The sequence below is a fragment of the Homo sapiens genome, chromosome 6 (genome assembly GCF_000001405.40).
Source record: "Homo sapiens chromosome 6, GRCh38.p14 Primary Assembly".
Classification (NCBI taxonomy): domain Eukaryota; kingdom Metazoa; phylum Chordata; class Mammalia; order Primates; family Hominidae; genus Homo; species Homo sapiens.
The window spans coordinates 135300654-135314334 of record NC_000006.12 but is presented as its reverse complement, the minus strand read 5'-3'; the positions used below and the strand labels follow the sequence as shown (position 1 = coordinate 135314334).

Genomic DNA, 13681 nt, shown 5'->3' with positions numbered 1-13681 from the left:
GTTTGCAACCTCACTTATCCTCACTGGGCAGAGAGCAGAGAGAGGAAGCAAGCTTTTTTGTGTCTCTCATTATAAAAGCACCAATACCATTTATGAGGGCTCTGCCCTCAAGACCTAATTACCTCCCAAATACCTCCTAACAACCATCTTGTTGAGAGTTAGGATTTTAACACATGAATTTGGGGGTTACACAGACATGAGGTCCATAACATAAACATAAGGTTAACACAAACATAACACAAACCTGAGGTCTAAATTTACAACATAAAAACCTTTAATGCAGTGGAAGCATTTATAACATTGGTGTAAAGGGTTGCTGTGACAGCTAACAATACTTTTAGTCTGTATTAAAAACTGTGTGATGCTATGAAACATACAGTCTTTACTCTTTGTGATTTTTCTCATGTCCCTGACTCTGCAACACGGTAACCTTTGAAACTGAGGTGACCTGACCCCCCCTCCCTTAGTATGTTTCTATTACCCTTGAGTTAACATTGACTCTGCCAGAGGAAACATAAAGAACTCTGTCAGTGTCTTACCTGTGAAGTTGGTATTGCCCCTTCCTCTTCCTGATGTGCCTGTGTTCTTATGGATAGGGACCTCCTACTTGTTTCCAAAACTTCCCAGTTCTCACTGCCTGTGCCACTCTACTTAGGTGGACTCACTGCATCATAGTCTTAGTTTAGACTGTAGTTGATTTTTCAAATTTCCTATGACTTTTGCCCCTCATAGAGTGATCTCCATGCTTCAAACATACCTTCATATTCATATTGCAGCAGACCAGTTCTTCAGATACCATCGTCAGTCACCCTTGAGGTCTACTTCAGGCTAATCCCACTGATGCCCAAACCTTAATTCTAATAGATTTAAGGAATTTAGAGTCATGTAAAGGAGTGGCAGAGGATAAAACTCCATTTGGGCAAGGGAGTAGGAATGTTCTCATGGAGGATATGGAACTCAAATTAGGCTTTAAATCTTAAGATGCGTGGATTTCTTTTGTTGAAGAACATGATTTGATCTTCTCTATCTGAATCCACGTGTTAGAGTAGAATCCTGCATATATTTTTTTCTCTTAGGAATGTGCTATGTGTGTAAGACAGTATTTTACTTCCCAGTGAGAGAAGGTATAACAAATGATCTATGTTTATGGAAAAGAAGCCCCTAAGAAATATAATGTTGCCTCGAGTAATTAAAATGATTTGAGTGCACTCTGAGTCATGGAACTAACAGCCAACTTTTGAGAAACGTGTAACTGAGCTTCTTAGCACCTGGCTAGTTGCATTTCTTAAATTTAGCTCCTTTATTAAAATATATATGGTTTGATTTTATCAAGACCTTACCTTATAAACCTCCCACAGAGTCTATCAGATATTTAATTTCATGTTCAAGTCTTATTTTTATTATCACTTTTTTTTAAGAAAGAACATGAAAAGTCGTCTGTGATAAAGTGACTAAAATTGTGGGGCATCTAAGTTCATAGAATTACAGAACTAGTGACATGGAAAGGACCTTAGAGAACATCCTTGGTGATTCTGATCAACTCCTTCATTCTACAGGAAATTGAGATCCGGGAAGCTATAAGAAGTTCGTTTAAAATGATGCTGCTAATTAGGAGCATGGCCTCCATATTCTCAGGCCAGTGCCCATTTTCCTCCACCACCTAGTTAGCAACACACACATACAGTTGGTACCTGCACAGTTAGCCAGGTTCTGTATCACACTGGTTTTTTACATCCCTGGTTGTTTTTTGGTTTGTTTGTTTTTGTTTTCTTTGTTTGGTTGCTTGGTTGGTTGGTTGGTTTTTTTTGTTGTTGTTGTTGTTTTGAAACAGTCTCACTCTATTGCCAAGCTGAAGTACAGTGGTGAGATCTCAGCTCACTGCAACCTCCACCTCCCAAGTTCAAGCAATTCTCATGCCTCAGCCTCCCAAGTAGCTGAGATTACAGGCGTGCACCACCATGCCTGGCTAATTTTTGTATTTTTAAGTAGAGACAGGGTTTCACTAGTTTGGCCAGGCTGGCCTCGAACTCCTGACCTCAAATGATCCGCCTGCCTCAGCCTCCCAAACTGCTGGGATTATAGGCATGAGCCACCGTGCCCAGCCCACATCCCTGTTTGGTATTTGTTTCATTGTACCCTTCTTCATGTGTAAGTTTTAAGAATTGTACTCTATATTTTTAATGAAAAAAGGAAACAAACCTCAATCATTTTCTTTCCTTTTTAAAATTATTTATTTTCAAGCTATAGAATAAGAAGCAAAATTATACCTCTTAATAGCTTGGCAGCTGCTGCATCTTACATGTTCTTCCAAGTGGAACACACCTGCTCTGTTGCTAATTGTGCCAGGTACCTTCCAGCATTTCATCTGGTTCATTGAAATGTTAGTGGGTGATGGCAGCATTTGTTGCTGGCTCTTCACTGGAGGAGGAGGGGACGAGATGAGTTAATCATCCCGAAACAAATCAGTAACAACTTATACCACAGGGGAGTGGGAGCAGGAAAATGTTTTCCTCCAAGTTCATTCCAGAACATTTTTACCAAGGTGTGCTACAAATTGCATCTAACAGAAAAGAGAATATAAGTATTATCAGGAAGGAGAGAAACTCAGAAGCTTTGAAAACGAGTAGTGCTGACAAACTTTGTTCTATTTTTTGTGTTTTGGACTTTTTTTGCTTTTTAGCCTTTTTATTTTTGCTAGCCTAAGCATTAACCTTTATGATCCATTTATTTGGGGAGGAAAGTTATTACTAAAATTTGTTTTAATTACTAGAGTTGTTCTACTATAAAAAATAACATGTTCATAGTTTTAAAATTTTAACCAGTGAAGAATAGTATAAAACGAAAAATTAGTCTTCTGTCCTGCTAATATTTATGCTCATTCTGTTTCTTACATATGCTTACAAAAATGTTCTTGCATATATAAATACACGTCTTTGTCTATTTTTTATGTTTATGAAACTAGGATCATACTTAAGATTCTGCTTTTTCTTTTTTCAATATATCTTTGACATCTTTTTTTTTTTTTTTTTTTTTGAGGCGGGGTCTCGCCCTGTCACCCAGGTTGGAGTGCAGTGATGGGATCCCAACTCACTGCAACCTCTGCCTTCCCAGTTCAAGTGATTCTCCTGCCTCAGTCTCCCGAGTGGCTTGGACTACAGATGTGGGCCACCATGCCCTGCTAATGTTTGTACTTTTAGTAGAGATGGGGTTTCACCATGCTGGCCAGGCTGATCTCAAACTCCTAGCCTCAAGTGATCTGCGCGCCTCAGCCTCCCAAAGTGCTGCGATGACAAGTGTGAGCCACCACTCCTGGCCTCTTTTCTTATTAGCAGAGACAATCCTATTTTTTAACCATTTTTAGGTACCAAAATACCCAGTTTTCTTTTTTTAATTCCTAAAATCTGTTTTTTTAATTCCTGAAAATGCTGTTTTCTTTTTTCTTTATTTCTAAAAAACAAAACCCAAAGTAGTAAAGTACTATTTACCTTCTATTAGTGTTTCAACATTAATACAGTCAAGTATGTTTTTATATAAATGCTAGATGTACAGTAATAAGTATGCACAGAAATGTTAGATTATTTTTGAAGATGTGGAGAAACTACTGTTATTTTTGCTTATATTCTTCTCTAAAAATTCACTAAATGAATAACAGTTATTGGTTTTGCTATTCAAGATAATTATAAAAATATCTATTATAGCTAATCTTCACATGAGCAGAGGAATGTCTTAATAATTTTCATTATTTTATTAAGCATGTAGAGTCAATAAGAGCATGCTGGCTTAATTCCAAAGGACAGACTATTCTAAACCAAAGTGTACACTCTGGTTATTTTCAGGAACAGCTGCTTTCTTGCCTAGTTCAAAACAAGAACAGAGAACCCAAAAGCATTAGATAACTTCATGGTAGTTCCTCTTCCAGCCAAACACACATACACGCAAAATTTTACATTGGTAAATCTGTCAGCCTCTCAGAAAAATGGTAGGCAATAAATATATTGCCCTCAATGTGCATGTGTTTTTCTTAGTCTTCAAAGTATCTAATAATTGTGCTGTATAACACTTTTCAAATATCACTTTATAGAGAAAATTTTTTTCCATTTACTGATCCCTGTACCAGGAATGAATCTGAATTATTGTTAATCATAGGAATAATATGATTTATTATTATATTAAGTCCAACAACAAATTTATAATAGACAGTGCAGATTTTTGTTATGGTGAAACAGGTTTTCCAAATAGCCAGTAGTTAGTTAATATATACTAAATCATTGGAAATATGGTCATAATTGTTGCTTCTTTTCTATTGCTAAAGAATAATATCAATTTGTATTTTTTTACTTTAGTAATTCTGTTCAAAGAAAATACAGTGATTTATTTCTATTATATTTAATAAAATTAATTTATGCTTGGATTTGCTTTAAACTTTTTGTAATATTTGAAGTTTTCTTACTTTATCTGAAGAGAACTGAATCAAAACTAACTTTGTATATATCAAGGATAGTGATGAAACTGACCTGAAGCCTTACCTTATAAGTAAGTTAAAACTAACCTGCGGGCGGGCGCGGTGGCTCACGTCTGTAATCCCAGCACTTTGGGAGGCCAAGGCAGGTGGATCACCTGAGGTCGGGAGTTCGAGACCAGCCTGACCAACATGGAGAAACCCCCGTTTCTACTAAAAATACAAAATTAGCTGGGTGTGGTGGCGCATGCCTGTAATCCCAGCTACTCGGAGGCTGAGGCAGGAGAATCGCTTGATCTCAGGAGGCATAGGTTGCAGTGAGCTGAGATCACGCCATTGCACTCCAGGCTGGGCAACAAGAGTGAAACTCCGTCTCAAAAAAAAAAAAAAAACTAAAGTGCTTATTTGTGTCCCAGGAAGAATTTCAATGCAGATAGCACTAATATGTTTTTTCTTTCCCCTAATTTGTTTCAATAACTTATAACACCTATTTTGAGAAAAAAGTATTAATTTCATATAAATGTTATTTACATTTGAATAATATGTGTTATTCTGGAGTCTAGAGAGATAAGTGTCCCATAAAGAAGGTGGGTGGTATCCCAGTGATGTAACAGCAAAGCCTGTGTGAGTTACCTTTACCTCATACCCATAGATTCCACTCCCAACAATAGAGTCCTGAAATGACCTACGCAGAGGAATCTCAAAGCCTCAAGAAATTAATAGGGACTCTCTCCTACTCCGAAAGGAACTTATAAGGCCTTTATTCTCTTGAAGGTCTGGCAACTTGTTTGACTGCTTCTTTTCCACCTGTGCCTCTGCCATTGTATTTGATATATGTACCTCAGCCCCTACTGTGTCTCTTCTCCCACAACAGCCCTGTTTCTTGCCACTTTGGGCAAGTGCTCTCCATATTTCCAGGACCCTCTTAACTCTCTACAAGGTGAGACCCTGCAGGCTGCTTATCTTCTCAGTTTATCCAGCCTGAAGGCAGGACCTAGATAATTGCCAGTGGTTCTGAAATGAAAGGAACATGAGAGAATCCCCCTGTAGTTTAACTTCAGAACAAGGTTTAGGGAATGTGTCATTTCCTCGATATCTTCCTAAATTCTCGTTAATTAAAAGTTTCACAGAATAACCTAGGGATGAATTGCTTTTCTGTTTAGCAACCCACTCCTTATTTAGCTGATTTGAGTCTCTGAGCTTAGTCTCTGCCACATCTCATTTTCTTACACAGATCTTCCATTAAAACTTAGTTTAGAGAATACTATAAATTCTCAAATTCTAAGGCTTGTTTTTATCAGGTAACATATTTGCTCTTCATGATGTTTTTTCAAAGGTTCAGCAGGGCACAGTGGCTCATGCTTTTAATCCCAGCATTTTGGGAGGCCAGGGTGGATGGATCGCTTGAGCTCAGGAGTTTGAGACCAGCCTGGGCAACATGGTGAAACCCCATCTCTATAAAACGTACAAAAATTATCCAGGCATGGTAGTGTGCATCTGTAGTCCCAGCTGCTTGGGAGGCTGAGGTGGGAGGATCGCTTCAGCCTGAGAGGATGAGGCTGCAGTGAACAGTGATCGTGCTACTGCACTCAAGTCTGGGCAACAGATCAAGACTCTGTGTCACAAAAAAAAAGCGGAGGATTAACCTAAATATCAGTAACATCCCTCTAAAAGTCTGCTACAGATCTAAAATGTGAAAGATGTTATTGAGAGAACTTCCCACCCATCATTCCTAGTCATAAATTGTCCTTTAGACAGTGGCCAAATTGACTAGTATCAGTCGTTGTGTCTTCTGACTCGACAAGCAGCATGACCTTTTTTTGGAAGTTCTCCGTCACCCTAACTCTGCTGTCCTCTTGTTTTGTCAACCATTCTATTCCAGGGTTTCTCAACCTCGGCACTGTTGGCATTTGGGGCTGGATAATTCTTTGTTGTTGGGAATATGCTGTGCATTATAACATGGTTAGTGCCATTGTTGGCCTCTGTCCACTAGATGCACCTCTTCCCACTTGTGACAATCAAAAATGTCTTTCAGACACGGCCAGATTTCCCCAGGGGTCAAAATCACCCCTCACTCTCCAGTTGAGAACCACTGCTATATTTTAATTTTTATGTATAATATATATAAATTACAATATAAATATTGTAATTAAAGGAAAAAACACTTATAAGTATTAAAGGAATTACATATTATAAATATTGTAATTAAAGGAAAAAACACTCATAAGTAAAATAAAAAGCTTTTCATTTTAAGATCCTGTAATGAAATTTTGCTTACATTATTCCATTAACTGCCAGTATATGAGTAGTTGTATATGAGCTGTAGACTACCCTACTTAAAAACAAGCTGTAGACTACCCTACTTAAAAACAAGAATTTTACATAAAGATATATCCAGCTTTGTGAGACTCAAAGTGATGAGTATATATAAAATGTCTAATAATTAAATTTAGATATCTATTGACTAATGTTAATTTCCTTTGTTTCAGAAGTTAAACATACGCTAATCTTTTCATAAACTATGGAAAATCAACTGTATGCTATTATTTTTATAATTACTTAGCAGTCACAGTAATGGGTCATATTGGTCTCTCATTTTAATATGGTTCCCCTTTAGGTACATAAAAAGGGAAGAACTTTTTCTTATTTAAGTGTGTCTTTTATTCAGACAAGCCATGCATACAATAAAAGATGTTTCAACATGTTGGAACAAATTTGCTTTTATTACTCTTTTATTTGAATTTTTTTGTACTTAATGAGTCTGTTCTCTTTTTACCTCTCTTACCGCTTCCCCATTGCTATAGGCGTTTTTAAGCAGCCACCTCTTACACACCACTGTATTTGGGTGACCTGGTTTGGGAAGAACTATTCCCTAGTGATAAGAGATTAGGAAATAGTTTAGTCCCAAAAGAGGAAGTGGGTAACCCAATGACCCTTCAGTTTGCAGGAATTCTAAGAAAGGGAGTGCATTCTGGTGCTTCTTGCTTCCGTGGTTGTCTGCAATCAGTTTTCATTCTTCTCAAACCGGGCCTCTCAGACCACTAGGAAATAAAAGCAGGATTATTTAGCAATATGATGCCAGATGCATCATTAGCACTTGGAGTGTTTCACTTGTCTCACCAATCCCCAGGCCTGGTGGGGGGACATTTAGTTGTCCATTTCTTTCACTAGTGCCCAGGATTGGTGGGGGCACAACAAGTTGCCCATTTTTCTCACTTCTACTCTGGTATTTAACCATAGCTTTTGTAAAAATTATAGTATTGTATTGACACTGTCTCTTCATGAGATTTGTGATTACTTTCCTCAGCGAGGCCCGTGGTCTTGGTCATCTTTTTTGTTTTTCCCTACTGACTCTACCCCATTCTCTACAGCAGCAGGTCAGAAAAGAATGTCCACGTTTCTCACTCAAGCTGCTGATTTCTTACTCCAAGTTGACTTGGTCTTCTGCTTTCTTGAAGAGAGGCCATATAATATGAATCCCCTCACATTTTCATCCCTACTTTCTCTATATTTCTGTAATTTTACCCTCCTGCAGCTGTTTTCAGGTATCAGAGAAGGAACTGCTTTTCCTTTCTATGGCAGACCTCTCCAGTTGTGCTTTTGGTCATTTTCCTTTCTCACATTCTTCTGGTCCTTATTCAATCAGTGATCCCCATCCCCACTCACCTACCAGCATTGGCATTTTTATTTATTCATTTAACACATACTTTGAGTGCCTGCTGGTTTTCTGTGCACTGTAGTAGAAGACAGTCTGGATGGTATAATGGTCAATAAAACAAAAATAGTCCTTGCACTTATGGAACTTACAGTCTAACAGGTGAAAGTAACTTTAATCAGAGAGTCACAAAATGAAACATAAAAGCAATAAAAGGATAGTGAAGGGAAACTATGAGACCATGTGGTGAGAAGTGGATGAATTAGGTTTTAAGAGGAGCCGGGTGGGTGGGAGGATTTGTTTGAGGCATTAGAAACAGCATGTGCAAAAGCCTGCTGTGGCCAGAAATGTTTCATCATGGCTGCAGCTTAGGATGCAAGGTTGAAAGCAGAAAAAGCTAGACCTGAACAAGTGGACAGGATTGAGGAGGTCCTTGGCTGGCATGTTAAGGAGGTGAATTTTATCCTGAAGGTAGTAAGGAGCCATCAAAGTATTTAAAGCAAGGGGATGACATGATCATATTGGTTGTTTCAAAAGCTCCTTCTAGAAGCTCTGAAAGACTGGGAAAAGCCTACTGAAAGAAATAAGACCAGAAGGGGCTGTTGCAATAATTCAAGCCAAAAATAATAAGGAGCTAGGAATTGGTGACTAAATCCATGTGAAGGAAAAGAAATCTGACTTTCTAATTGAAACATCTCAGTGTTTAAGAATGTAGGAAGGACTTCAATTTGAGACATGTAAAGTTCATAGCACCTGCAACAACCAATTGCAGATACCTTGCAGACATCTATGAGGCTCAAGAGAGATTTGCTGAAAACTCATATTTGCAAGATAGTTTTGATTACAATTTATGAATCCAAGTATATTTCCAGAAAAATTGCTATATTTAAACTTGCTTTGCTGAAAACTAACCATTGCTAAGTTGTTACATTCTGAAGAAAACTTGATATCTGAATCCACGGGAATAGAGGAGTGTCAAGAATGAAAATGACAAAGGGTAGAAGACGGGGACTTAAGGAATGCCATTTTTTTTTAGAGTGAATTGAAGGGAACGAACTTGGGAAGGATATTTCTGTGTAACAGCCACTGCCTGGTATATAGCCTTCTGGTCTCTGCTGATAACAGTATCCATTCTCCCATTCTTCAGTCTTCATTGCACCTTTTACCTGCCTCCTGAAGATACTTTCCTAAAATAGAAAACAAATCATGTGACTTACCAGTGCATAAATCTTAGTTGGCTCCATATTTGTCTATAAAGTCCAAATCTCGTAAGTTTTTATCTAGGTCTTACCCCTCAAAGATTAAATAGATGTTCTCACCTATTTTGCCTTATCTTCCAAAACACCCTCCTAATTATGCTGCCCCACAGATAAGTATTTATTATTGTTTTTAATTGGCACAATTAGTATCCAAAACTACAAATCGTGATCAGGATGGTCTTCACTTTTTGGAGATGGAATCTCGCTCTGTCTCACAGGTTGGAGTGCCGTGGCACAATCTTGACTCACTGCAACCTCCGCCTCCTGGGTTCAAGCAATTCTCCTACCTCAGCCTCCCGAGTAACTGGGATTACAGGTGCCCGCCACCACACCCGGCTAATTTTTGCATTTTTAGTAGAGACCGGGGTTTCACTATGTTGGCCAGGCTGGTCTTGGACTCCTGACCTTGTGATCTGCCTGCCTTGGCCTCCCAAAGTGCTGGGATTACAGGTGTGAGCCACCACACCCGGCGGTCTTCACTTTTTGTTACAGTATGCTTCTAGAAACTGCATCTTAATACAGAAGAATTTTTTCCCTTAAGGAAGAGCATTATAATTGGAGGATTTAACATCAAGTAAACCAGATACATTATCAGTAATTCTGAAATCAGGCCGGGCCCAGTGGCTCATGCCCATAATTCTAGCACTTTGGGAAGCTGGGGCAGGAGGATTGCTTGAGGCCAGGAGTTTAAGGCTAACCTGGACAATATAGTGAAACCTCATCTCTACTAAAAAATCAAAAAAATTAGACATGATGGCATACACCTGTAGTCCCAGCTACTCAAGAGACTGAGGCCACAGGTTGGCCTGAGCCCACAGGTTAGCCTGAGCCCAGGAGGTCAAGGCCATAGTGAGCTATGATCACGCCACTGCACTCCAGCCTGAGTGACAGAGCGAGATCCTGTCTCAAATTAGAAAGTAAGTGAATAAACAAATATATACATACATACATTCTAAAGTCAAAGAAAACTTCAAACTTATGTGAATATTTAAAATCCTAAAATTGTGCTCCCGGAAACAGAGTTGTAGCAATAAAAGAAACCTTTCTAGTCTTGTTTAGAGCTTGTATACTCCAGTAGTTTGTAAACTGTCATTTACAGAGCCCTATTCCTCAGGGATCTGGGGGCATAGGGTTGGGAAGCAGGGGGTGCCAGGCCATGCAAACCTAGTTTCACCCAGAGTATTTCTTCTTTCACATATTTATACATGAGCCTTTTGAATAAAATTGTATTGAAAATAGTTTTGCCATTAAATCAGTTTGAAAAACACTAGTATAACCTTCAGACTACCTCTATAACCTTGGTAACTCTGGGCCTCCAATTCCTGGTCTGTAAAATAAGAGAATGGTGCTATGATGCTTATGTTTTTATTTTGAACCCTCACCTACTTTCAAGTGAAAAAAAAAAAAGACCCCAAGAGAGGCTAAGTGGTTTACCCAGGCCACACAGAGTTAATGACAGAACCAAGACAAGAATTGAACCACCAACTTTAGTTGTTTTTCCTCTCTCACATCCTTTTTTTAAAAACTCCTACAAAGTAGATATAAACAAACTATGAAATTATATGGAAAAGGTATATCTATCATGAGGTATATAAGCCGCATGTAAAAATAGAACTATACCGTATCATAAATTTGCCTTATTTAAGTCTCGTGTGCTAGATGTAACATACATTAATTGAACATTAACCTAATTTTATATTCATTCTTCAAGTTTATAAAAATATTTGGGGGAATTGTTTGCATAGCCCCTTTCTCTTTTACAAAGCTATCTATGAGTTGTTTTCTTCCTTATAAATTTCCACATAATCAGTGGAAGCATTTAATCATTCCATTAATCATTTATTTTATGTTAACTATCATTGCATTTAAATTTAAAAGCATCACTAACAAGTTGTGAGGGTTTGGAAAGCGCAAGTCTCTAGATTCTGGTCCTTTCACTCGTCACTTTTTCTTTGCTCGTTTTTCCTCTCTTCATCCCCTCCTCTCTAAATCAATGATATCCATGAAGAGGAAACAAAGTCATAAAACAACTTTCTAACAAGTGTGTGTGGAAAGAAGGGCAGTCATGTTCTTTGGCGTTGTCGATGGTGGGGGTTATTTGCGGGCTGATTGAACACCAGCCTTGGGGGCTTTTTCGTTTAAAGGTAAAATAAAACAAAACAGCTCACAGAGACACCTCCTTCTTCCCCCTGCTTCTGCCTCCATGAGTAACTACCTATATGACGTGCTGCTGCTGAGACCAAGGAATGAGTGAGTAAAGGTGTTTGGAAGTCAAATATTGGTCCTAGTTAAGTAAGTGTCCTTTTCAAGTAAGTGGTAAACTTTGTAATGTGGACCCCCTTCTAACTTAGGATTCATATAATTTGAACACAGGCTAAGCTGCCTCTGCATCATTAAAAAGGATTTGGGTATGCCAGTGATAGGAATACACAGTAGAAAAGATGGCAGGGACCATGTTTAACATACCTAAGACAAACTTTCTGAGGATATCACAGCATCCATTTCACATGAACAGGCTTAGCAGAATTGGCAAGACCTGCACATGGCAACATATTATTCATTTTTCAGGATAACAAAAAATAATTAAAAGTAACATTGGCTTAACACTGGTATATAGTTCAGTATGACTTCTCTCCCCTCAACCTCTGGAATAGGTTCAAATTGATGAGAATTTCTGATTAGAGCCCTTAATGTTGAGTTTTTTGAAAAGTTTTATCAAGTTTCATATATACCTATATTGATGGTAAGTTGCTGGTCTTGCCATGGGCAAAGAGAGAAAAATGATACTGAGACCTTGTAAAGAATAGCTGGACATGGAGGCGCACACCTGTAATCCCAGCAACTCAGAAGGCTGAGGCGGGAGGATTGCTTGAGCCCAGGAGTTCAAGGCTGCAGTGAGCTACGATCATGCCACTGTACTCCAGCCTGAGCAACAAAGCATGACCCAATCTCTTAAAAAAAAGAAAAGAATAAAACATTTCACATTTAATTTGACTGCTGTGTTTAGAATTTATTTCACAAGTCTGGAAAGAAACAGGATAATTTCTGTTATGATGGTGCTTTCTGAGGTTTTGATGATTTTCTTTGCTTATTGTTCTATTGGATGAGGGCAGTCTGAATTAGTAGTTGAATCTGAAATTTCCCGTGTGTATGTACTTTTTTCCCAAACACGTTTTAACTGAGTCAGAGCAATTCCACTGGTGGAGAAAAATTAAGATGTCATGGGTTCTTTTGTTGTTCTACCAAATGGGTCACCTGTTGCAACACTCACCTTTCACCAAAAAGTCTCCTTGCTCTTTAATTCTTGTTTTTATTATGCTTGACTTAAAGCTCTACAGCTAGCAGTAATAATCATATAATTATGGTCCAGAAAAGCATAATATCCTCTTGAAATCTGTAAGAAAAGTAATGCTTGTTTAAAGATAGTGCCAAATCTTGCTGAAGAATGATCTTGCAGAAATCTGATTGTGAAGAAGGAAATCTAAAAAGGCCAAACAAGCTTCAGTAGAGATAACACCAGGAAAGCAGTTACTCAAACAAGACTGAAAGAGAAGGTTGTATTCCTTTTCTTTCATTTCATTTTGTTTTTATGTTTTCTGGATTACTGAAATAATTAGGAACATATGGTATATCTGTTTCATTTGTATATTATTGAACTTAAACATAGTAACAATTTATATTTTCTTTGTGAGTGTTAAACGAATCCTTTCCATAACGTGATTATCTCTAAAAAAAATTGCAATTCGTTTTATAGCAACATTAGGTTGATTTATAGATTATATATCATATCAAACTCAATTTCCCACAGTATACTTTAATATGAAGTTAATGTTTCAGATTCTAAAGGAAGTATCCGATGCTCAGGGTAAAATTTGGTACCCTTGAAAGTGCTTATTGTTTTTCTCACGAAGGTGCCATTAATAAAACAAGATATACTGAACACATTTTGTAGATTTAAAGAGCTTTCAAATTCAAACTCTTGCATACAGATCAATGTGTATTACTATGAAAATATAGAGTATACTATAAAGAATATGAAGGAAAGATGCAGGCTAAAAGATATATTTAGAGCTTAAGTAATATACCACATTGTATTGGGAGATTAATTTAAACTGATTCACAACTGATTTTTTTTTTTTTTTTTTGGTCACATACCTGAAAGCTGACTTTACTTATAAATGAGTGTTTGAACTCTCTGGAGAACTACTTCCTTGGTTTTTCATGGGAGCAAATATATTGTCCTGATAGACAATATATGTTCAGGACAGGCATAGATATTCCTGTTCAGAACAGGCATATTCTCTCCCC

At 37.8% G+C, this 13681-nt stretch overlaps 1 protein-coding gene across 13 annotated transcripts in view; it reads left to right on the top strand.

Moving 5' to 3' along the window:
• The window catches only part of AHI1 (Abelson helper integration site 1), a 214209-nt gene that overhangs the window by 183406 nt on the left and 17122 nt on the right, over nt 1-13681 (top strand). The window contains exons 28-29 of one of the 13 annotated variants that reach the window (XR_001743480.3): nt 11518-11623; nt 12796-12927. The exons of the other annotated variants lie outside the window; for them this stretch is intronic. The gene's annotated coding sequence lies outside the window, so the exon portion shown is untranslated. The remainder of the gene's footprint in view (nt 1-11517; nt 11624-12795; nt 12928-13681) is intronic. 13 annotated transcript variants of the gene reach the window in all.